At 50.6% G+C, this 22,609-nt stretch overlaps 1 protein-coding gene across 13 annotated transcripts in view, besides 1 other annotated feature; it reads left to right on the top strand.

Annotated features, from left to right (window-relative positions):
• The window catches only part of POC1A (POC1 centriolar protein A), a 79,198-nt gene that overhangs the window by 23,348 nt on the left and 33,241 nt on the right, over window positions 1–22,609 (top strand). For 5 of the 13 annotated variants that reach the window (XM_011533561.2, XM_011533560.2, XM_047447908.1 and 2 more), the window contains one exon: window positions 5,895–5,963. In XM_011533561.2, coding sequence (XP_011531863.1) covers window positions 5,895–5,963 — 69 coding nt within the window. Of the gene's footprint in view, window positions 1–5,894; window positions 5,964–7,476; window positions 8,698–18,135; window positions 18,378–22,609 lie in introns of those variants that run through there. The other 8 variants (NM_001161580.2, NM_015426.5, XM_017006104.2 and 5 more) reach the window with 5 other exon arrangements.
• Window positions 9,329–9,623: an enhancer, noted in NCBI's record as "tiled region #14635; HepG2 Activating non-DNase unmatched - State 15:Elon, and K562 Activating non-DNase unmatched - State 16:ElonW". NCBI's record gives its function as "activates a minimal TATA promoter and a strong SV40 promoter by Sharpr-MPRA in HepG2 and K562 cells {active_cell/tissue: HepG2 | K562}" and the evidence as "EXISTENCE:reporter gene assay evidence [ECO:0000049][PMID:27701403]".

The raw sequence follows: 22,609 nt of genomic DNA, 5'->3' as shown, positions 1-22,609 counted from the left end.
GCTGTAGAGTGACTGAGCTGCACACGGTGCCATGCGCCCCCGCCACCCTCCCCCCGACCCCGTGTGGGTGAGCAGCCCCTGCCCTGGACCCAGACCTGCACAGGCGCTGCTGTCTGTGCTCAGGGCTATGCTTTGAGACTTAGTTGGTGGGAACTTGCAGGCTCAGAGTAGGAGACCCACTGATGCTTATGGGGTGCTTGCGCCATGCTGGGCCCTAGGTTGAGGTTGGGATAGCAGCAGCAAAGGGGATGCACCTTCAAGCAGGGGAGGCGACTGTGTGACAGTGGCTGGGCCAGTGGGCCATCCCTCTGTCCACCCCAGGTGGAGGGCAGCTCTGGGAGTGGGCCACCCCTCCCTTGTTTCTGTGAGAGCTCTGTAGCTCCTGTCTAGGCATTTTGGAGGACTGTTTTGATGCTCAGGAGGGTCACACCTGGCTTGGGTGGTCGGGCACCTCCTGTGAGAGGTGAGAGGACATGCAGAGAGAGAACGGCTCATTTATTTCACACTAAGAAACTAAGAAGTTGGCCTGGCCCTCTGTCCCCTGCCAGCAGCCCAGAGTTGAGGGCTGGGAGCAGGTGTCTTCGGCCAGGGTCAGGAGGTCACTCCCCGTCTGTGGAGTTATGATGGCCTCCTATGGGCCCCACTCAGCCATGAGAGCCCAGTTCACAGCAGACCCTGGTAAGTGAGTGCAGGAGCCTCCTGGTGGGGCTCTGGAAGAAGCATCCCAGTGGGTTGGATTGTTGTCTCTCTGTCTGAGCACAGGGGCTGGAGACCACAGCACTCACCCCAGAGGCCTGTTGGGCCTCCTCAGTCCCATTCTCTGTGTGATGGCCACTCTGCTTTTCCCTCTGACTGAGGGGCATGTGGTGTGACAATCCTATTTGTTCACTGGAAGACTGTGCATATGAGAGTCAACACAAAATATTTTGCAACGCGTGAGAGGTGGTGGTGGGTTTGCCAGCATAGCTGTTGTGGGCATGCAGTCAGAGTTCAGGCATACAGGGGCCTCTGAGAGTCAGGCGGGAGAAGGTGAGGAGGATGAGGAGAGCAGCGAGGTCAGTGTGAGCTGCCGGAGCAGCAGAGCGAGAGCCAGCACGACTGTGAAATCTAATCACCATGGGCTCCCTTGTTTTGCCTTAAAAAAAAATCTTTCTCTGTTGATACTTTGTTGTTTGAAGAAACCAGGCAATGTGGGTCCTTTTTAGGTCTGGAAATTGGCAACAGAAGATGATGTGTGGTAAAATGACTGGGTGTGGATCCAGCCAAGCTCCAGGGCCAGATATGGCCCGGTTAGCAGGTAGAGTAGCAGGGAGGCCAGGCTGTGTCTGGGTTCATGACTGGTTAAGCAGGACCATCTCCCTGAAGATTCTGCCTGGTCTTTCAAGGGAGGGAGGGAGGCCCTTATTGAGCCTGTGAGGCATCCCTGCTAATGGACCTGGCCTGGAGTCAGAGGGAGACCAGGGCTTCCCACAGGTGGGTACCTCTGGTAGCTGGGGGCAGGCCGGCATCCACACTGCTGAAGGCCCAGCCAGGAGCCGCTGCTCAGAGGAATCCTCAGGGGTGTGCAGAGACACCCAGAGACAGGTCTTGCCTTTGGAGAGGATGGACTTGGCAATATCCCTGCCCCAAGTGGATACCCTGATGCATGAAGAGTGATTGATTAAATAAAAGGAATAAGCCATCATGAGGGTAGAACAGTCTCCAAAAACATGTATCATATCTGGCTGCTGGCAATGGTAAGAAGAGACTCTTCAAGCACCTATGGTTTGGAAACTTTATTTTATTTTATTTATTTTTGAGACAGAGTCTCGCTCTGTCGCCCAGGGTGGAGTGCAATGACATGATCTCGGCTCACTGCAACCTCCACCTCCTGGGTTTAAGCGATTCTCCTGCCTCAGCCTCTCGAGTAGCTGGGATTACAGGTGTGTGCCACCGCCCCTGGCTAATTTTGTAGTTTTAGTAGAGATGGGGTTTCGCCATGTTGACCAGATTGGTCTCGAACTCCTGACCTCAAATGATCCTCCCGCCTCAGCCTTCCAAAGTACTGGGATTACAGGTGTGAGCCACCATGCCCAGCCTGGAAATTCTAGAATGCACTCTCAAACAACCAATGGGCTGAAGGGGAAATCACAGTGGAAACTAAACATTTGGAAGTGAATGACTGAAAATGTTGCATACTGGAAACTTCCAGGATCTATTGAAGGTGTCATCAGAGGCAAATTTGTAGCCTTAAATTGATTTATATAAAACCAAAAAAATTGAAAATACCTGAATTAAGAACTCAATGCAGGTGACAGCAGAAAGAATATAGAGAAAGAGAGGACCTTTTCTGTCTAGATCATGGTGTTTGAGGAGCACTAGGGCAGGGAGGAGAGAGCCTGGAAAGTTAGCAGGGGCCGAAGTAATCTGGGGCCTCCAAGGCTAGGCCCTGAAGCATGTCAGCAGTGGACAGTCTCTTCTACAGTACATGTTGGCTTTGGCCCACAGCAGAGCCCAGGTGTTCTCTGTGCTGTCCTCTGAGTGCCCTGGGCTGCTAGGCAGAAGAACAGGAGCCTTCGTGGAAGGTACCTGGAGCAGGGGCTGCGTGGTCCTCTTGGTAAACAGGCACTGTTAGGGAGGACTGCAGATCCACACAGCTTATCACTCGCTTCATCCCTGGAACTTCCTGGGGTTTGGTCTCGTAAAGGAGCGCTAGCACTTCTTATCTGCAGGGCTCCCAGTGCCTGCGCTCTGGTCCTGACCCCTGCTGAGCTGAGTGTTTTGTTGGTTCTGCTGCTGTTGCTGCTGCTCTGACTCCACCACCTTTTCCCAACTTGGCCTCTGGTGGTTGAGTCATGACATGAAAGGAGAGTGACCTGCAAGTATTTTTCCCTTAGTTGCTGTGACTTCTTGGAAACCTGCCATCACTCAGTGAGCTCTGGGCAGGCAAAAGGCCCATCTTTTTTGACATTCCATGTACTGGTTTCCTTCTCTTTTCTCTGTTTCCTCTTTGTTTTTCCTCACAATGAAAGTAGTTTTGTTGTTTGGTGTTCGTATTAGTGTAGCAATGCCATATATTCATTATTAAAAAATTCAAAGTAGGCCAGGTGCGGTGGCTCATGCCTGTAATCTTAGCATTTTAGGAGGCTGAGGAGGGTGGATCACTTGAGGCCAGGAGTTCAAGACCAGCCTGGCCAACATGGCGAAACCCCGTCTCTACTAAAAATATAAAAATTAGCCGGGTGTGGTGGAGGGTGCCTGCAACCTCAGCTACTTGGGAGGCTGAGGCACAGGAATCGCTTGAACCCAGGAGGCAGAGGTTGCAGTGAGCCAAGACTGTACCATTGCTCTCCAGCCTGGGCGATAGAGCCAGACTTTGTCTCAAAAAAAAAAAAAAGGTTTGTGACTGGGTGCAGTGGCCCACATCTATAATCCCAGCACTTTGGGAGGCCGAGACGGGCAGATCATGGGGTCAGGAGATCGAGACCATCCTGGCTAACACAGTGAAACCCCATCTCTACTAAAAATACAAAAAAAATTTAGCTGGGCGTGGTGGCGGGCACCTGTAATCCCAGCTACTCGGGAGGCTGAGGCAGGAGAATGGCGTGAACCCAGGAGGCGGAGCTTGCTGTGAGCCAAGATCGCACCACTGCACTCCAGCCCGGGCAACAGAGCGAGACTCTGCCTCAAAAAAAAAAAAAAGGTTCAAAGTAACGGAAAAATGAAAAATTTCTAAGAATCAAGTAAAAGTTACCTGAAATTACCTCACACCCCTCTGTTAACCCCTTGGTGACTGTCCACCTGAAAGGGTATCTGAGTGATGGATGCCCTGCCCTCATCCTGCAGTCAGGCCCTGCATGAGCAGGGGCCACACAGCCCGTGATGTCTTACACTTGGGATTTCACCCTCACTGATGTTATTGGGCATTGTTTCTCTGTTAGTAAAAGTGGATCTATATTATCCTGGTTAATGGTGGCTTAGGATTCCCAGGGCTGCTGGGAGTGGGGCATTCCTGGGCCCTTGCAGCTCTACCTGTGTGAAGAAGGCAGGAGGGCAAGTGTAGGCCAGAGGCTTTGTCTTTGTGTCCTCTCAGGCTTTGTTCCCTGCACTTGGACATGGCACCCTTAGGAAGGGTAGTGTGATTAGAATGTGTTCCCCAAAGTTCATGTATTAGAAACTTGATCCCCAGTGTGGGTTGTTGGGAGGTGGGGCATAATGGGAGATGTTTGGGTCCTGAGGCCATGCCCATATATATGAATTAATGCCATTCTTGCAGGAGTGGGTTTGTTACCATGGGGTGGGTTTCTTATAAAAGGATGACTTTGGCCCGCTTTTCTTTGTCACCCTCTCTTTGCCCTTCTGCCGTGGGATGACTCAGCAAGAAGGCCCTTGCCAGATGCTGGCCCCCGATCTTGGACTTCCCAGCCTCTGGAACTGTGAGCCAATACATTTCTGCTCATTATGAATTACTTAGTCTCAGATATTCCATTATAGCAACAGAAGTGGACTAAGGCAAAGGGTCACCGCACAGACTGTCCTTTCAGGATTCAGTGGGTAAATGCAGGTGCTGTGCTCTGAGCGCCTGAGTGCTCGGTGTTCACCAGTGTTGTACTTGCTTTTTTCGTCAGAGGTGTTATGAGCACCTCTGAGAGGAAGAGCCGAAGGTGGACTCTGGAAGCATGGGTGGGCATACTCCCTGCTGTCCAGTGTGTCTGAGGCTGAATGGCACCTCTCAACCTGCCTGTCTCTCTGGGAGACAAAAGCTGCCTTCCTCCATGGCCTCGAGGTCCCTTTTCCCTCCCAGAACTTGGCTGGTCTTTTCTGGCATTAAGTGGAAGGCGCCTCCCAATGTTCCTCTCATTGATGAGTCAGCTGTAGATGTGCTGCCAGAGCCCATCTCATGGGCAGTTGGGGCTCTTGCCGCTCCCTGCACTGGTCTGGGGGGACTGAGGTGGACTTGGTGACAGTGGCTGTGCTGTCTTCTAGGAGAGAACCTCTTTTATCTGATTTTGCTTGGGAATACCAGGTACTGGCCACAGTAAAAGTTCGACTGGGAGGAAGAGATGGTGGTGGCTGTGGTCATGGTGTCGTAGCTAAACAGATCCTTACTCTGAGCACCTTTCTGGGATGGATTTTAGGTATGTGGGGAAGAACCCTCCTTTGCTAGGAGATCATGCATCCCCCATCTCCCCCGCCCTGGACTGCTCTCCAGCCCTTGGAGTGCGGCCTGGCGTGTGCCTGGCATTCCCCTTCAGATGGTCACGCAGACCTTCAACATCTGGGAAGCCAGAGTGGGCACATCACTACCCATGGCCTGAACATAAGAAAAGTGAATGCACATTAGAGAGACGTGTCACATTGCTCTGCTGCCCAAGCACCTTTGGAAACCTCCTTCCTGTCACCTGTGCCTTGAACTATGCCCTGTCTGCTTGAGCCATTGGCTCTTCCTTGGAGATCCCTATTTCTCTGGTCAGCAACTGTGCAGTGTTGGGGAGATGTTGGGTGTTAGGGTTGGTCTGGGTCAAAGGGACCAAGTTCTGGTCTCAGTGCTGTGGCTGGGGTGACTCAGTGCATCTCTCTGACCTGTGGTTTCTTACTGGGAAAGTGGGGACAATGAGGCCAGCCCTGGAGGGCTGCCAGTGCAGACTGTCCCATTCACTCATCTCTGTCACCCACATTCTCATAGCCTGGACTTGTCCCTGTTGTAGTGCTCAGGAACAGAAGCCTGAGCGGTGGTGCTTGCACCTGGCTGCAGGCAGGCTCCTGGGCTACAGGTTACGGAGGACTGTGGGCTGAGTGGGCTCTCGGTCCTTTATCCTGCTGCTGCTTTCATTCAAGAACGTCTCGTTTTCTTCCTGTGCATTTAGAATGGAGAATGACCTTTGATGTGTGTTATTTTTTGTTTGTTCTGCCAGGGACCAGCCACCACTGTTGCCTTTTCAAGAACGGGGGAGTATTTTGCTTCTGGAGGCTCTGATGAACAAGTAAGTAAAGAGTAGTCGAATGGAATGGTGAAGAAGGGAATCTGAGCTGATTTCTGCTCAGAACCAAACAGGGTGTTTGGGGGATGGGCTGGGTTTCGCCAGCTTCCTTGGTGGCTTTCAGCGACTAAAAAGGCCCTGATGGCGCTTGGGGTGGGGTTGCCCAGATCCAGGGGCCTTGCCACTCCAGAATGGGCCTCCTGCAGGTGCCGACCTCATGGCTGCATCTCAGAATCCTCACTGCTCAGGCTAGCGCTTAGTGGAAGGAGGCTGGGCTATGGTTGTCGTGAAAAGTTGGTTTTTTAGTTATTTTCCTGATTCCAAATAAATAGATAATGATTATTATTAATATGATCTTACTTTAGGCCTGGGAATATGGCCAATGTGACAAGAGCTTCATACCTCATTTAATTCTCGTGACATCTCCATGTGGGAGATGAGGCCCTCTGATCTCCCCGTGCGGTAGATGAGGAAACTAAGTCCCAGCAGATGCTAGAGCTGGGGCAGGTACTGGGGCCTGTCTCACTTCAGAGTCATTCTCCTGCCCTGGGAGCCTCTGCTCTGTCATCTGCTGCTCTTTGCTCCCAGCCCCCTTGGACACTGTTTGAGGGGTCAGCATTTTCAGTATTTTTGGCTGCAGAGAGAGGACATTGTGAAGAGGTCCTATCCCACCTTGTCACCCTCTGCTCTGAGGCTTCAGCCTGTCAGCCCTGGTGCCTTGTGCCCTGACTGCTAACCACCAATGACCTGTCTCCTGGCAGGCACCCTGCTTCTGGGGCCTAGTCCAGACCCTGGCACTGGGGAGGCCAGGAGCACTGAAGAGTCTAACCATCAGCAGTCTTTCTCCAGTGTCCGCATGGTCCTCTTGTCCAGAGAACCACAGCCCCTGATGAGGAAAGGAGGAAAGGGTGGCTGTTCTGTGCCACTGTTGACCTGATGGATGGCCGAGAATGTTTATTCCACTACTGCCCAGTCTCTTAGTTCTGGCTGCTCAGCCTAGAAAAGTCCTATTGGCCTATACGAGTCCTGGTCTCAGCCAAATCTACCAATTTTGGTTGAGTCTCTTCCAGTAAGGCAGAGGGTAGTTGGAGGCTCTTTGACCACAGCCTGGGTTAGAGACAGCAGGCATCTTCCCACACCAGCACCAGTCCTGCTCTAGCAGACGAGGGAGGAGGAAGGCAAAAGTGACTCCTGAGCCTTCCCTGAGCGTGAAGCCTGGCTTATTGCTTAGAAGACAGGGAAACTGGTAACTTCACACAGTAAATAGAGTCATGGTAGAATCAAATGACATAGTAGGAGAGGCAGCCTGGTGGAAAGTAGGTCCAGCAGCGCTGCCATCAGCTCCCAGGCTTCCTGTTTAATATCTACTCTGAGCTTTTTCAGAGTGACATTGGCATTGTCTATTTGCATTCATGATAGCCACTCTACTGTTAGGAATTTATTCAGCAGTTAGATTTGCAGTGACATGAAGACCCTGTAAACAAGGGTGTGTGTGTGCTAACATTCTGTTTCTAAGGTGATATGTGCACGACCCTAGACGCCATCCATCTGGGAGAGGAAACAGTGGAGCTGCTCAGACAGTGGTGAGGAGCCTCCTGAAGAACGAGGCTCACAGCTGCGTCCTGACAGACAGGGATGGTGTCCAGGGCATATGGAGTGTTCATCTTGTGTGGATACGGTGGTTTTTCTGTGGCCTCAGGTGACCACTGGCCACACACTCCCCAGTTCTCTTGTGACACCCAAGCCAGCCATCCTGGAAGTGGCCCTGGAAGCACACCGTCATGCATGGCCAGCAGCCTCCAGCAGGGAGCGCTCTTGCTCCCCAGCCAGGTGCCTCCCTCAGCTGTGTTCAAGGAACCGAGGGACATGGTCCTGCTGATAGGAGGACACCTGGAATAGGATGTGTTTTTCATGGCTGAGTTAGCCTTGGGATGACGAGTGTGTTGCTGAGTACTTCCTGTGTGCCCGTGTCCACCAGGCTGTCTCCTGTGAGCCTCACAGCAGCCCCATGAGATGGGAACTAGGCTTATCCCAGTCTCGCAGATGCAGGAACTGAGGCACAAGGTTGAGTCCCTTGCCTTAGGCCATTCAGTAAGGAGTGTTCTGGCCTGGAGGCCATGTGTTAACCACTTCTCACAGTGTAACAGGCCAGGCCACCGCCCGCAGGAACTTCTATTTTAGTTCAGAGGCAGATGATAAACAATGAAAAGGGGATTAAATAACTCCCTACTCTGATGCTATGAAGGAAATAAATAGAGGGCTATGATAAACATTCACAGAAGGCCTCTCTGAGAAGGTGGTGCTGTTGAAGCAGACACTTCAGCCTGCGAAGCAGCCAACCCCATGAAGCTCGGGCCTGTGACACCCTAGGGAGGTGAACCAGCAAGTGCGAAGGCCTGGCGGTGCCACGCCGTGGTAGTCCATCCTGGTCACATCCAGGTCCTCTTGAGGCCTGTCCACAAAGCCTGCTCCCCAGGGAGGTGGGGTAGGTCCCGGAATTGAGTTGGGGTGTCAGGTGGGGACCACTATCCCACCATGGCTCAGAACTTTGGGCATGGCCTCTGAGCCCATTTCCTCAGTGAAGGACTGGCAAGGGGATTTTCTTCTCCTGACTTGGTGTGCCTGTTGGTTTTGGCAGGTGATGGTTTGGAAGAGTAACTTTGATATTGTTGATCATGGAGAAGTCACGAAAGTGCCGAGGCCCCCAGCCACACTGGCCAGCTCCATGGGGAATCTGGTAAGTGGCTTGGCAGGCATGTCCTGAGCTCTGTGACTCTGGTGGGCTAGGTCATGGTGAACAGCTCTGGGCTTGGAGACGGTGAGGGAGGAGGTTTAGGCCTGTCTCGGGAAAGGGACCCTAGCAAGATCTTCTCATTTACCAAATACTTTGGAAGTTGTGGTGCTTTGTTTTCCATCTAGAGTGAACGAATAAGACACAAAGAGGCTGTTACAGCAAGCTGCCGGGTGCCCCAGGCCTGTGCCATTTGGTGGGAGCGTGTTGCCATGGCATATGGTGCTGTTTGATTGAGGCCTTAGGAGACAAGGGACCCGTCCCATACTGAACCCTGGGTCACAGGACCCAAACGTGGGGCTCCTAGAGGGTTCAGGGCCTGAAGCCACAGCTGGGACAAGTGGGAAAGGCCCAGCCCTGTTGCTTTCACTTCCCTCCCTTTTTTTTTCTAACCATGGAGAGGAAGTTCCTCAGCCACAAACCATTTTTAGTACCTCTGTTCGTAAAAGAATATTCAGTGTTCCTGAATTTAAATAGTTAATATTTTTGATAAATATTTGGGGAAAAAAATTGATAACTGATACAGTCTCATTAAATAAGGTCATATTCAGCTTGGGCTGAAATAAATGTTAAAGCCGAGGTTGTGGAACCTTGAGGGTTTTAAGCTCCTATGGCCACAGGCTTTTTAGATGTCTCTCCGTTGGACCATACAGAGAGTGTGGCCTCCCCCACACGGATACTGGCCCAAACAACAGGAAGCGGCTCGCCCAAGGCCTCCAGCGAGTCAAGGCTGGGGCCCAGAATAGAACTAGGAAGCCTCCTGAGTCTATCCTGGGGCTTCTGTGGCTGCAGCAGATAGACCCTCCATCTCCCCACCCCAACACACACACATGCCCCCGTTTTGTGTCCTGGTCTGCCTCTAGGCATTGGCCCAGTTGGGATTTATGGTTTTTCTTACAAGGGTTGCTGTCCTGGCTGGTCTCTTGGCTGTCCTCTGTACTTGCTAATCTGTGGCCAGTTTTCAGCTTTTGGGTTTGTTGGGGGATGACTGGGCTGCATGATGCACTGCTTGCTGCCAGTTCATCTTCCACCCAGAAAGGCATTTCACACTGCAGGGTTGAGGCCCCCTGGGACTCAGCAGACCTCTAGGTCCCTGCCCTCTTTCCTGTGAATCCCTCTCTATTAGGCACTTCTGGTGAGCCATAGCCAAGGCCTTTTATGCTCGCTACCCTGTTTATTCCTTATCTCATCAGAATGAGTGGGTAAATATACTGCTCAATTCACAGATGAGACACCTGGGGCTTAGTCACCTTCCCCAGATGCCTGGACCTGGGGGCCCACCAGGCTGATGCCTCTGAGCAAAGCTAGAAACTACAGGTGGCAGAGGACTGCTGGCTGCTTTTCCCCATTTCAAGGGAGGGCCCTGACATCTGCCGCTTGGGAGTGGTTAATATCTACCAGCTGGGGGAGAATCCCATGTTCTTGTAGCTATTAGGAAAATAACTTGGATGAATTGCTTCTTGTTCCTTTGGTCCTGGCTCAGCAATGGAGTATGGAGCACCTTTGCTTCCCAGAGCTGTGGGTGGGGGATCCCAGCATGGCAGGATGGGGCATGAGTGGGTGAACAGCTCAGCAGTGCTTAGAGCAACCACTTGTTCCCATACTATCTACAGACTCACGTTGGAGTTGTAGTCACAGCTCTGCCCACTGGCCCTCACTGTGTGGGCCTCAAATAGGGGAAAGGATGTGGGTCCTGGGGTCAGAGAACTGGGTTTGAACCCTGGATGTGTGGCCCCAGGCAAAACACCTGGTCTTCCCAAACCAACATTTCCACATAGTACCTGAATACGCCCATAGGCAGGCTCTGATGAGAGCTTTGAGACCCCCACCAAGTGACTTGTTAATCCTAAAATCATTCTTGGTTCAGATCAGACCTCTTTCCTTATTTGTCATAAGCCCCTCTGAGACCCTGAGTGGATGTAAGTCCTCTTCCAGACACACTTTCACTGACACACACATGCCATGTGGTGTCAACCTTCAGGACTTCTCTAATCTGAGGACTCCCAGGCCAAGAGGAGAGCTAGGTTTTTAGTTTGTTTTGCCTTGTTTTATTGTGATACATATATATATATAACACAAAGTTTACCATTTTAACCATTTTAAGTGTGCAATTTGGTGGCATTAAATATATTCTCAGTGTTGTGCAACCATCACCGTCTATTTCCAGAAGATCTTCATCTTTCCAAACTGAGGAGAGCTACTTTTTATAACACTGTTCAGTAGTTCGGTTTTCTTCTGAGATAGGAAGGGAAGCTGATGAGTGTGCTCTCGCCCTTCTTGCCCAAGGGCTTCCCTGGCACCGAGACCGTATCTGGGGACTGGTTCTATGGCTGGCCAGAGTGACTCAACCCCATAGGGAGCCCAGGAGCACTGCAGCCATGTCTCAGGAGCTTGTGAGTCCGATGAGCCTCTGTCCCTCCAGCACTGTCCATGTACTGGCCTTCCCAATAACCCAGGGTTTCTCACCCTCAGCACTATTGATATCTTGGGCCAGATCATTCTTTGCTGTGGGGGGCTGTTTTGTGCATTGTGGGATATTTAGCAGCATCCTTGGCCTTTACTCACTAGATGCCAGTAGCATCTTCACCCTCCCACCAACCCAAGTTGTGACAACCAAAAATGTCTTCTAGGCCAGGCATGGTGGCCCACACCTGTAATCTCAGCACTTTGAGAGGCTGAGACTAGAGGATCGCTTGTGCCTAGGAGTTCAAGACCAGCCTGGTCAACACAGCAAGATCTCGTCTCTACAAAAAAATTTAAAAATTAGTTGAGCATGGTGGCACTCCCCTGTAGTCCTAGTCACTTGGGAGGCTGAGGCGGAAAGATCACTTGAGCCCAGGAGTTGGAGGCTATCGTGAACTATGATCATACCACTGCACTCCAGCTTGGATGACAGAGTGAGACTCTGTCTCTGGGAAAAAAAAAAAAAAAGTCTTCTGATGCTGCCAAATGTCCCTCTGGTGGGCAGAATTGTCCCCAGCTTAGAATCACTGCAATAAGTCTTGCCTCAGCGGGGAGCCCAGAAAAGAAGCTGACCTAGCAGTGGGAGGAGTGTGGGAATGTGTCTGGAGATGGGGCTGTCTTAGCAGTGGGAGGAGCACGGGGATGAGGTGGGAGAGGCCCTGGGCATGCGGACGAGGACTATTCCAGCAGCCTTGAGTGTGAGGACTCTGTTCAACTGGGCCAGATTTGGGCTTCCACCAGCAGCAGCAATAGTGGCCCAGGTGTCTCAGCCTGGGTTTCTAACAGAAGTCATTTTGTAGGAATCTCATTTGGTCGCAGTCTTCTGGAGGTGATGGTAAACAACCAAAAAAAAAAAACCTTTTGCCTTTAGCAACTACTTGGTTTTCTTCACTTAAAAATTGGAGAGTGTTTTTGCCTTTCCTGACTAAAGGTTTTCCTGGCTCTGGGAGAATATCTGGTCAGTGGTTTGGTGGCTGACCAGTGTGGCTCGACTTCTCAAAGAGCTCATGGGCACCATAGCCATGCCCCAAGAACTCATGAATCTAATGATCCTCTGCCTACATCAGCTCTGTCTGCACCCTGGGCCTCAGGCCCTGAAGCCTTGTGAAATACTCCTGGGCATTTGGGGAATCTAGGAAGCCCATCGGGCAGGTGTAGGTGTTGAATTCCTCACCATGTCCCCATTCCAGCGTAGCAGTCGAAAGCCAGAGGGGCAGACCCTGCATGGACCCCTTACTTTACTTACCCACTAGCAGACCACGGCAAGGGCAGCCCTGTGAGCCTATGATGGTCCTTCTGCCCAGGAAAACCCCCTGCCCATGACCCTTTCTCTGACTGCAGTACTTCAGCTCTCAGATCTTGGAATGAAGGTTGTCCTTGAGCCCACTCTGAATAGAGCTCTGTTCACTGCAGAGCTATTTTCAACCTCTGGTTGAAATTCACAGCTTATTTTTAGGCACATTTCATGTTGAAAAGCAAAAGCCATTTCCCAGCCATTCAGAATGAGAATAATGGGTTCCATTTTCCCTCTATTCTTGGCTGAGTTGTGCATGAGGAGGGATTTCAGGGCTTGTGGCTGGGGAACCTTCTCTACTTAGAAGGTTGCAGATGAAGGATTCCAGGCCATGCTCTGGGCTGAGGGTGGACAGAAGCTCCATGTTCAGCCTTGTGACATGCTACAAGGCTGGGGGAAGGTTGGAAGAGCCACTTGCAGGCAAATGAGCACCTCCCAGAGGGGCTTGAGGGTGGGCAAGGGATGGGAGCCCCTGGGAATTGTCTGCATTGGGTGCCCGTGCTCGTGTTTTCAAGGGTCTAGTGCTTAGCTCTGTTCCTGCCACAGCCCTGGCCCCTCTATTCTTGTCCACCCTCTTGCTGTCTGTTCTTTGGGGCCTGACCCCGAGGCATAAAGACCCCTGTATCTTGGCTGATCTTGAATTTAACACCTCCCAAACCCCTGCCACTATAGGACGGACTTCTGCTCAACCACAGAAGCATTTTTTAACCACTTTTTAAATAGCAAAAATGCATTTGCTTGATTGACTTATTTTTGCCCTCCTTCCAAATGTCTGAGGGCCCATTATGCAATGGGGAAGAAAGGTTGCGCTGGGTGGGGTGGGAGGAGAACACAGAGTTCTAGGTAATTCAGTGAAACGGGAGGAAAAAAAAACCCACTTTCTGAGTTCTAAGGGTTGGCTGCTGTCCGGTTCACACATTAACCTTGAGTTCTAGGGCTGAGTGCTTTTCTCCACTCACCTCTCAAGATCTCATTTTAAGGAGGAAAGCTCATCTGTGGTTAAGAGCCTGGGTTCTAGCTTCCAGCCAACCTGTGATTAAATCCTTTCTCTACCCTGCCTGGGGTGTGGTCCTAGGAAAGTGGCCAGACGTCTGTGAGGCACGGTTTTCTCTTCTGTCGTTTGGGGAGAGGCTGGGCCCTCCTTCGTGGGATTTCATGCGTGGTGCATCTGCCTGGCACATGACAAGTGCTCATCAAGCTTTAGCTATTTTTTTTGAGTCAGGGTCTCACTCTGTCACCCAGGCTGAACTACAGTGGCGCAATTGTGGCTCACTGCAGCTTCAACCTCCCAGGCTGAAGCGATCCTCCTGTCTCAGCCTCCTGAGTAGCTGGGACTATAGGCGTGTGCCCCCACACCCAGCTAATTTTTTTTTTTTTTTTGAGACAGAGTCTTGTGCTGTCACCCAGGCTGGAGTGCAGTGGCACAATCTTGGCTCACTATAATCTCTGCCTCCTGGATTCAAGAGATTCTTGTGCCTCAGCCTCCCGAGTAGCTGGGAATACAAGCGTGCACCTCCACGCCTGGCTAAATTTTGTATTTTTAGTAGAGATGGGATTTCACCATGTTGGCCAGGCTGGTCTCGAACTCGAGAGCTCAGGTGATCCACCTGCGTTGGCCTCCCAAAGGGCTAGGATTACAGGTGTGAGCCACCGCACCTGGCCTAATTTTTTAAATTTTTTGTAGAGAAAGGGTCTCCCTGTCTTGTCTAGGCTGGTCTCAAATTCCTGGGCTCAAGCAGTTCTCCTGCCTCTGCCTCCCAAAGCATTGGGATTATAGGTGTGAACTACCACGCCTGCCCCACCAAGCTTTAGCTACTTTAAAAAGGGTTCTTTTCCCCTCCCTGACTGAAAGCCAATCCAGGAGATTATGTGTTCAAAACTTGCTGGGGTGAGGGACAGTGGGCAATAATGGGAGCACTTATAATTTTCCACGTTGACCCCTCTCTGCAGGTCATCGTAGTGAGGGCCAGTGAGGTTTCTAGACCCTTGCAGGCATCAAAATTGTGTTTCCTGATGGCAGACCCAAGTCCCCTGTGCTCCCAGATGAGAGAGCAGATCTGTGAGTGGGTGGAAACAGACTTGTCCTTCTGCCACAGGATTCCTCAGGACAAGATGCCCAGGATCCCCAGAGCCTCAGTGCTTGAACTGTCCTCTGGAAGAGGGAGCTGGGTCAGTTGAGAACATCTGAACTGAGCCTCATCCGTGCCGAAGGATGGTCTATTTCTTCTTCCTAGTTCCTCTGATACTGAGAGTAAAGCACCAGCCACCTCCTGTGCTTGTCCTTAACCTCCCACATTTCCATTTTTGGGGCACTGCCACAGGGGTGGGCTTCACTTAGGGATTTGTGGGACCCTGATTCCTGGCCCAGAGATTCTTGGCACTAGATCTTCCCTTATGCTTTGGATCTGGGGGTCCTGGGTGCCTGTGGATTTTTAAGATCTGGGTTCTCACTCCAGGTGCCTTGCCTGAGGAATTAGAGAGTTGGAGAAACAGGGAGAGGAGACCCATTTCCACCTCATCTGCCTCATAGATTTTTTAAAATTATTTGTATACATTTCAGAAGTACAAGTGCAGTTTTGTTACCTGGTATATTGTGTAGGGGTGAAGTCTGGGCTTTTAGTGTAATCATCACCCAAATAATGTACATTATACTGGTTAAGTATTTTCTCATCCCTTGCCTCATAGATTATGTGTTAGTCTGCTCAGGATGCTATAACAAAATACCATAGACTAGGTAGATTATAAATATAGAAATTTTATTTCTCACAGTTCTGGAGGCTGGGAAGTCCAAGCAAAGCACCAACGGGTTTAGTGTCTGGTGAGGGTTTGTTTTCTGCTTCATAGATGGCTCCTTCTCACTGTGTCCTCGCGTGGTGGAAGGGGCTAGCTAGATCTCTGGGGTCTCTTTCATAAGGGCACTAATCCAAACCTGATGGCTCCACCCATATGACCTAATCACCTCCCAAAGGCCCCACCTCCTAATACTATTACTTTGGGGTTAGGATTTCAACACAGGAATTTTGGGGGACACTAGCCCTCAGACCTTGCAGCAGATTTGCTTCTCATTTGGGAGGACTTGGGTCGCTTAATGAGAACACAGATTTATGGTTTGGCATTCACTTTCTGTAGAGGGGAGAAGTGTGGGTTCAACGGATTCTTAGCAAGAGCGGTGTTGTAGGTGTTTGGAGCAGGAGTGAACCCCAGATTTATATGTCTTAGAGAAGAGCCTCTCCCTTCTCCACTTGACCCCAATCCTGGCACCTAATTTTTTCAAGACCATTAAGGTTGGTAGGATGCAGTGACTCACGCCTGTAATCTTAGCACTTTGGGAGGCTGAGGCAAGAGGCTGGCTTGAGCCCAGGAGTTCAAGACCAGCCTGGGTAAAGTAGTGAGACCCCCATCTCTTAAAAAAAAAAAATACTATTAAAGGGAACTGTTGGCTTCCTGCCTGCTGCAGGCAAGTCAGAAGATGCCCAGGCAAGTTACCCAACTTGGAAAAGGCATGGCTTCATGGAGCCCAAACCCCCGACGCCTCAAGCTGCCCGTGCCCTTGGGCTCAGGGCATCTCTGGGGGTCAAGATGTGCCTGTTAATGTGTTGTGGCTCTCACTTTGCTCACACCCTTTGGCTGAATAGCTGGCATTGCCCACAGTCCTTTTTATCGGTGTGAATGAGAGCTTGATGGAAATGGCAAAGCAGACCCTCTTCTAAGGGGCACCATTCCACCTCGTGTGGCTATTGTGGGGCTTTACCGGGGCCAGGCTTTATGGGATGACTTGGGAACAGTGGGGACTTTCTTTTTCATGTTTCCTAGGACTTACCAGGTGGCCCATCTCTGGCTCCTGGGGGAAATTCATTCCTGCCCCCTATGCCACACAGAGGAGGAACTTTGAGCCCAGAGGTGACCTGCTGGTGAATAGCCTGGGCCCCAGCCAAGTCCTTGTCTCTGGGATTGAAGTGCAGGAACGCTAATAAGAGACCCCTGACTGGAAAAGAGCAAGGGGGAGTCTCCTCATTTCTCAGTGGGAAAAAGGAGCCCAGCATCCTCACCCCTGGGACAGATAACCGTGCCTTCCCCTGTGTGTGTGCACATGCATGCTCATGTGTGGACCCCTGTCAGTGCTGCTTCAGGGTCTCCTGGTGTCTACATTCCCACAATGCTCTGTCAAGTGCACCTCCCTTGTACTCATTCATGTAATCCCCCTGCAGACCCTGTTGTTCCAGTTCTGTGGGGCGTCTCCGGTTTACATGGGATGTACTGGGGCTGGGCACAGCATGGGGGATGCCAGGGATCTGGCTAGGCACCTTCCTGGTATGAGAAAAGGCAGCTTACAAGCATGTCTTTCCTGGAAAGGATTTTCAGGCAGCCCCACTAGGAAGGTGGAAGGTGGATACTAGAAACTTCTGGCTCTGGGAACCACTTCCAGAACTTAGTTGGCAGTAAGAGCTGCGCTGCCCTAGTATGCTGGTCTGAGCAGAGGCTGGGACCCAGCCTGAGGTGGCGTGTCTCCTGTAACCTCACGCAGGTTGTCTCAATTCTCTGCACCCCGATTTCTCCCCAGCATTCTGCATTGCATCCTTTGTGCATTTTTCATTTCATGGGCTCACTCTGCAAAAGACCTTCCTGCAGAAGAGAGGCCACAGCAGCCTTTGCTTTGGGTGGCAGAGGCCTCCAGATAAGATGCCCCCTTTCATACTCGGGTTGCATTTTCCTCCACCTTTATCTCAATAGAATTCGTGGAAAGTGCTCTGGGTTTCTTAGTTTCAGTGGGAAGAGAGTGGATACTAAAAATAAAGAAGATTCAATATTTGTTACCAAACTACAGGTTTTGTTTTTGTTTTGTTTTTTTGTTTGTTTTTGTTTTTTGAGACGGAGTCTCTCTCTGTCACCCAGGCTGGAGTGTAGTGGCGCGATCTTAGTTCACTGCAACCTCTGCCTCCCGAGTTCAAGCGATTCTCCTGTCTCAGCCACCTGAGTAGCTGGGATTACAGGTGCACACCACCACACCGGCGAACTTTTGTATTTTTAGTAGAGACAGTGTTTCACCATGTTGGCTGGGCTGGTCTTGAACTCCTGACTTCAGGTGATCCACCCACCTTGGCCTACCAAAATGCTGGGATTGCAGGCGTGAGCCACCGTGCCCAGCCCCAAACTACAGTTTTTGTAGAATGTTTCCTGCTTGAAACAGAGCACCTTTGGCCAGTGGCTGGTGAGTAATGTGGTGTTCGCAAGATCCAGGAGCACCAAAGATGCCAGTGCTCCTGGAAGTGGGGCCACCCAGGCCCAGGGCAGGGTCCCAGCTCCTTTTTCTTCCAGAGGCTACCACTGACGTTATTACTAGGTACATGTTAAATAATTACTAAGTTTCCCATGGGGGAGGAGTTGCCTTTGATAAGCATGAGGACAGCATTTGCAGAAATCCATTAGGAGATGCTAGCTGGGCTTCCCAGGCAGTGATGGTGAAGAGACAGGCCTTTTAACATTTGACAGTTATCATGGTAAGCCTCCTGCAGTGGTTCTCAAACTTTAGTGTGCCTCAGAATCACTCTGAGGGCTTGTTAAAACACAGCTTGCTGGGCCTCATATCCAGAGTATCCGATTTAATAGGGAATTCACATTTCTAACAGATTTCTAGGTGATGCTGATGCTGCTGATCCAGGGACTCACTTGGAGAACCACTGGTCTTTTGGAAAACAGTCTAGCCTGTTGTGACTATGGCATCCTGGGCAGGGGAATTAAGGGAAGAAGAAAGTCTCTTTATCTTCGAAGTTTCTATGACTCGTCGTGGGTACAGCTTGGGAGAGGCAATCAGAAAATCAGTGTCCCTCGCAGCCCACTGTAGTCTGCTGCTTTGCAGAAGAGGAAAAGGGTATGACCTTGGTTCTTTTTTGTGTGTTTGTTTGTTTGCTTGTTTTTGGTATTTTTTGAGACAGTGTCTTGCTCTGTCACCCAGGCTGGAGTGCAGTGGTGCGATCTCGGCTCACTGCAACCTCTGCCTCCGGAGTTCAAACAATTCTCATGTCTCAGCCTCCCGAATAGCTGGGATTACAGGCATGCACCACCACACCTGGCTAATTTTTTGTACTTTTTTAGTAGAGATGGGGTTTCGCCATGTTGGCCAGCTGGTCTTGAACTCCTGACTTCAGGTGATCCACCCACCTTGGCCTCCCAAAGTGCTGAGATTACAGGTGTGAGCCACCACGCCCAGCCAACCTGAGTTCTAATCTCAGTGTACTGTTTAAAGAAAGCCCAGCCAGGCTTGGTGGCATGCACCTGTAGTCCCAGCTATTCAGGGCTGAGGCGGGAGAATTGCATGAGCCCAGGAGTTCAAGGCTGCAGTGAACTATGATTGCACCACCGCACTTCAGCCTGGGTGACAGCGTGAGACCCTGTCTCAAAAAGAAGGAAAGCAAGAAAGAAAGTCCAGTGCTGCCCCGTGGGCCCTTTAAACCCAAAGGCATCTACCAAGGCTCTGTTTACAACCAGACAGGCAGGCGTGTGGTTTTATTACCAGCTGAGGACATCAGTAGTAAGGAAGATGGGACTTGCTGTGGCTCTGCTGTGAGCCTCTGCCAGCCCTGTTGTTCTGTCCCAGCTTCTGTCCTGCCCCTTAGTACTCCTGCCATTAGTCCAGTCACCTATTCTTGAATCTGTGTTCTCCAGGCCACCTGTCTCCTGTGTTATCCTTGGTGTCTCCCTTGCTGTCTTGATGTCCTGTCTCCCACTTCTCACCCTGCACATGTGGATGCCTAGGCCAGCTCCCATCCTCCAGACAGCCTGCTAGACTTTAGGGAAGCAGATGGGTGAGAGTCTCTGTCTGAGCCAGAGATGGCTTGGGTGTATATGGCTTAACATTTGAACCCCAGATGAAGGTCTTATTTGCAGAGCCTCTTTTTTTTTTTTTTTTTTTTTTTTAATTTTGAGACAGAGTCTAGCCATTCTTGCCTAGGCTGGAATGCAATAGCGCGATCTCGGCTTACTGTAACCTATTCCTTCCAGTTCAAGAGATTCTCCTGCCTCAGCCTCCTGAGTAGCTGGGATTACAGGCACCTGCCACTACACCTGGCTAATTTTTGTATTTTTAGTAGAGACAGGGTTTCACCATGTTGGCCAGGCTTGTCACAAACTCTTGACCTCTGGTGATCTGCCCGCCTTGGCCTCCCAAAGTGTTGGGATTACAGGCATGAGCCACCGTGCCCGGCCTGCAGAGCCTCTTGAAGAGGTGCCTCCAGGTAGCAAGAGCAGAGACAAGCCCTGAAACAGCGATTAGGGTAGAGGTGGCAAGGTTGGAGTGGAAGCCAGAACTCCCTTCTCTGAACTGCCCCCTTGAGGGGCTAATGGTGTTTCCTGTCACTAGAAAAATTTCCATCCATTCTAAAAGCAAGTAGGTTCCTCTCCAGAGGAGAGTTCATGATGTTGAGGAAGGAAGGCCTATTTAATGACTTAAACCAATGGGAGGTGTGTTCTCAGACATCCAGGGAAAAGCATATTAAGACAATCACAGTATCAGGAAGACAGAGCAACCTGACTCAGGAACTCAGACAAAGGCTGGAGGCCCTTGGGTCCAGCTCTGCGTGCATCAGTACACATTTGGCATATAAACCCAGGCACACACACTCCTTTGAGAGCTTCGTTATCTCTTTCGAGAGTTCCAGAACTGTTTTGGGTTTTCCTTTTCCCCTGGCAGCCAAAGCTTGGGCTTAGGGTTATTGGAGCTTCCACATGTGCATGTGGGGAAATGAACCTGAGTCACAGGACAGAAAGTGGAGTCTCAACACTGTGATGCTTTCCTACAAGGCACACATGGCCCCAGGCAGAGCCAGGCTGCATGCCTTGAAGGACCTTTTGCTTCACACACTGGGGCCACTGCTATGACACTGCCTTTTTGCCAATAGTGATGACAGGCAATCTAAAGCCCCATCATCACCTCTCCACAGGAGAGCCCACAGAGGCCACAAGAATCGTCTTGTAACAATTGTTTGCTGCAAAGCAGAGAGGGTGCACAAGAACCGAGGGCTTTGGCATTTAAGGATCTTTCTTCCCTTTTATTTTGTTCTTTTGTTTTCATTCTATTTTTTTAAGCTCAGAAACCTGAAAATGAAATAAATGAGCCACAGGTAGAAATAAACCTGTCGCTTAAGTCTGACTGATTTTTGGGGCCACCATTCACTGCTCCTAGTGTTGTTGCGCTCATCCTTATAGTCTCTTTCCAGATGGCACCTCCTCCATGCAGGCTTCCTTGGGAGGCTGGCAGCTGGTGAGTTCTTCCTGCTCCACCTGCCTGGAGCACTCTCCTACCTGGAGCAGCCCCGCTCTCCTGTTGTCTGTTATTTACAGACCTAACTTTTCTCCCTGGAGGGCTGGGGCCTTGCTCTTGCCATGGTGCTCAGTATGTGTCTGACACATAAAAAATGCTCAGGAAGTCAAAGCATTCTCACGTCTGTGGGCAGCATAAGTTGAGTGTGTGAGGCTAGAGGCGGGCTGTCTTTCCTTTTGGCATTTTTGATGGTCTCAGACTAAAAGAAGGAAGCTACCTTCTGGCCTTATTTGTCAGTTTTGGGGGGCAGATGACATGGGGTGGTGTGGGCAGTGGCAGGGCAACAGAGGGTGGTAGAGTCTGCATGCCTAGATTAGAAGTTTCAGAACTTCTTTTCATTTTAAATGGAAAAAAACCCTTTGTGGTTTATATTTTCCAGATTGGACAGCAGCATTGCCATGTGGTGTAAGGGTGTTGGATAGTGCTTGTGTTTATGTTCTTATTGGTTGCCATGGAAAAAAAATCAGAATAGATGGTTTCCATGGAGATTATCTTACAATTAGTTTCTTTGAAGGTCCGGACATTGCTGCAGGATTCGCTGAGTACTCGTTGCCATCAGGGGCTTTCTCTGTGGCAGTGCTAAAGGCTGGTCAGAACGTTCCGTGGACTTAGACAAAGTCATCTGCCTCCTATGCTTGCAAATCCCAGGACACCAGAGTGGAGGTGATCCTGTGGCTGAGCTTCCTCTTGGAGTCCCACTTGCCTTGGATCAGCTCCGCAGCTCCTTTCAGTCACCAGGAAGGTTTTTTTTTTTGTTTGTTTGTTTTAATTAAACAAAACAAAACAAAACAAAAACCTTTGTATTGTGGAAATTTCAAGCTAGCACAAAAGATAGAATAATGTAACAAACCCCATGTACCACTCACCTAGCTTCAACATTCTGCTAATCTCATTTCATCTGTTTCCCCCACATTTTAAAGAAGAGTTTGAGTGGTTTTAAAAATCCCAGATATATCATTTTTTACTCCAAATAAGGCCATTTCTTAGTTATATAATAGCAGTGCTCTTATCACATCCAATGAAATTAATAGTTCCTTCATATCAGATATCTAGTCCACATTCACATTTTCCCACATTGTGTCATTGTTCAAATAAGGATGCGGAAAGCTTTGAGAAAACCCATGTTCTCTGCTCCCCCTTCCCCGACCCATGGTTCTGGTAGGCGGAGTAGCTGAGGGGGCTTTGGCCTGGAGCTGTCTTGGGCTTGGGGAAGGGGGCGCGTCTGGGCTCACACCACACTCCTGATGTCCTCCAGGAGAGTTTGGTACTGTGAGCTCCTCGCTCCTTCCTGGAGGTGGGTCAGGCACAGGTGGGCTAGCTACTGCCAGCTATCTTGGGCCAGGCATCCGCTGGGGGGCACTGGCTGTCTTTGAAGCCTGCAGGGGGAGGGAAGGGAAGACGTGATGTAACCTTGGTTCATAACAGCTGTCTGCGACTTCATTTTCCAGGAAAGGAGAGGCTGTTTGACCCCATGGGACACAGCCTTCTGCAACTCCTCCCTGGGAATCGTGGGGCTGCTGGTGGAGGGCTCTGGCTGATCTGCTCTGGTGGTTCTGAGGGCTCTGGTGGAGGGCTGCTGCTTTTGCGGGTTGGGTAGAGCCAGTCCTGGTTATCTATCTTGGCAGGCTTTGCTCGTGTCCTGTGATGCTGCACAAAGTATGAATTACGGAGCTTGGGAGTGATGCCTGGGGTGTGGTCGGTGGCTCTAACACTCTCCATTGAACTAAGTGCAAGGAGAGTTTAAAATAGCCAGCCTTTGTTCCGAGGTTTTAAAAATTCAACTC

Source organism: Homo sapiens, chromosome 3, assembly GCF_000001405.40.
Source record: "Homo sapiens chromosome 3, GRCh38.p14 Primary Assembly".
In the NCBI taxonomy this organism is placed as follows: Eukaryota; Metazoa; Chordata; class Mammalia; order Primates; family Hominidae; genus Homo; species Homo sapiens.
The sequence above is the reverse complement of the archived record's forward strand: the minus strand, read 5'-3'. Positions and strand labels throughout refer to the sequence as shown.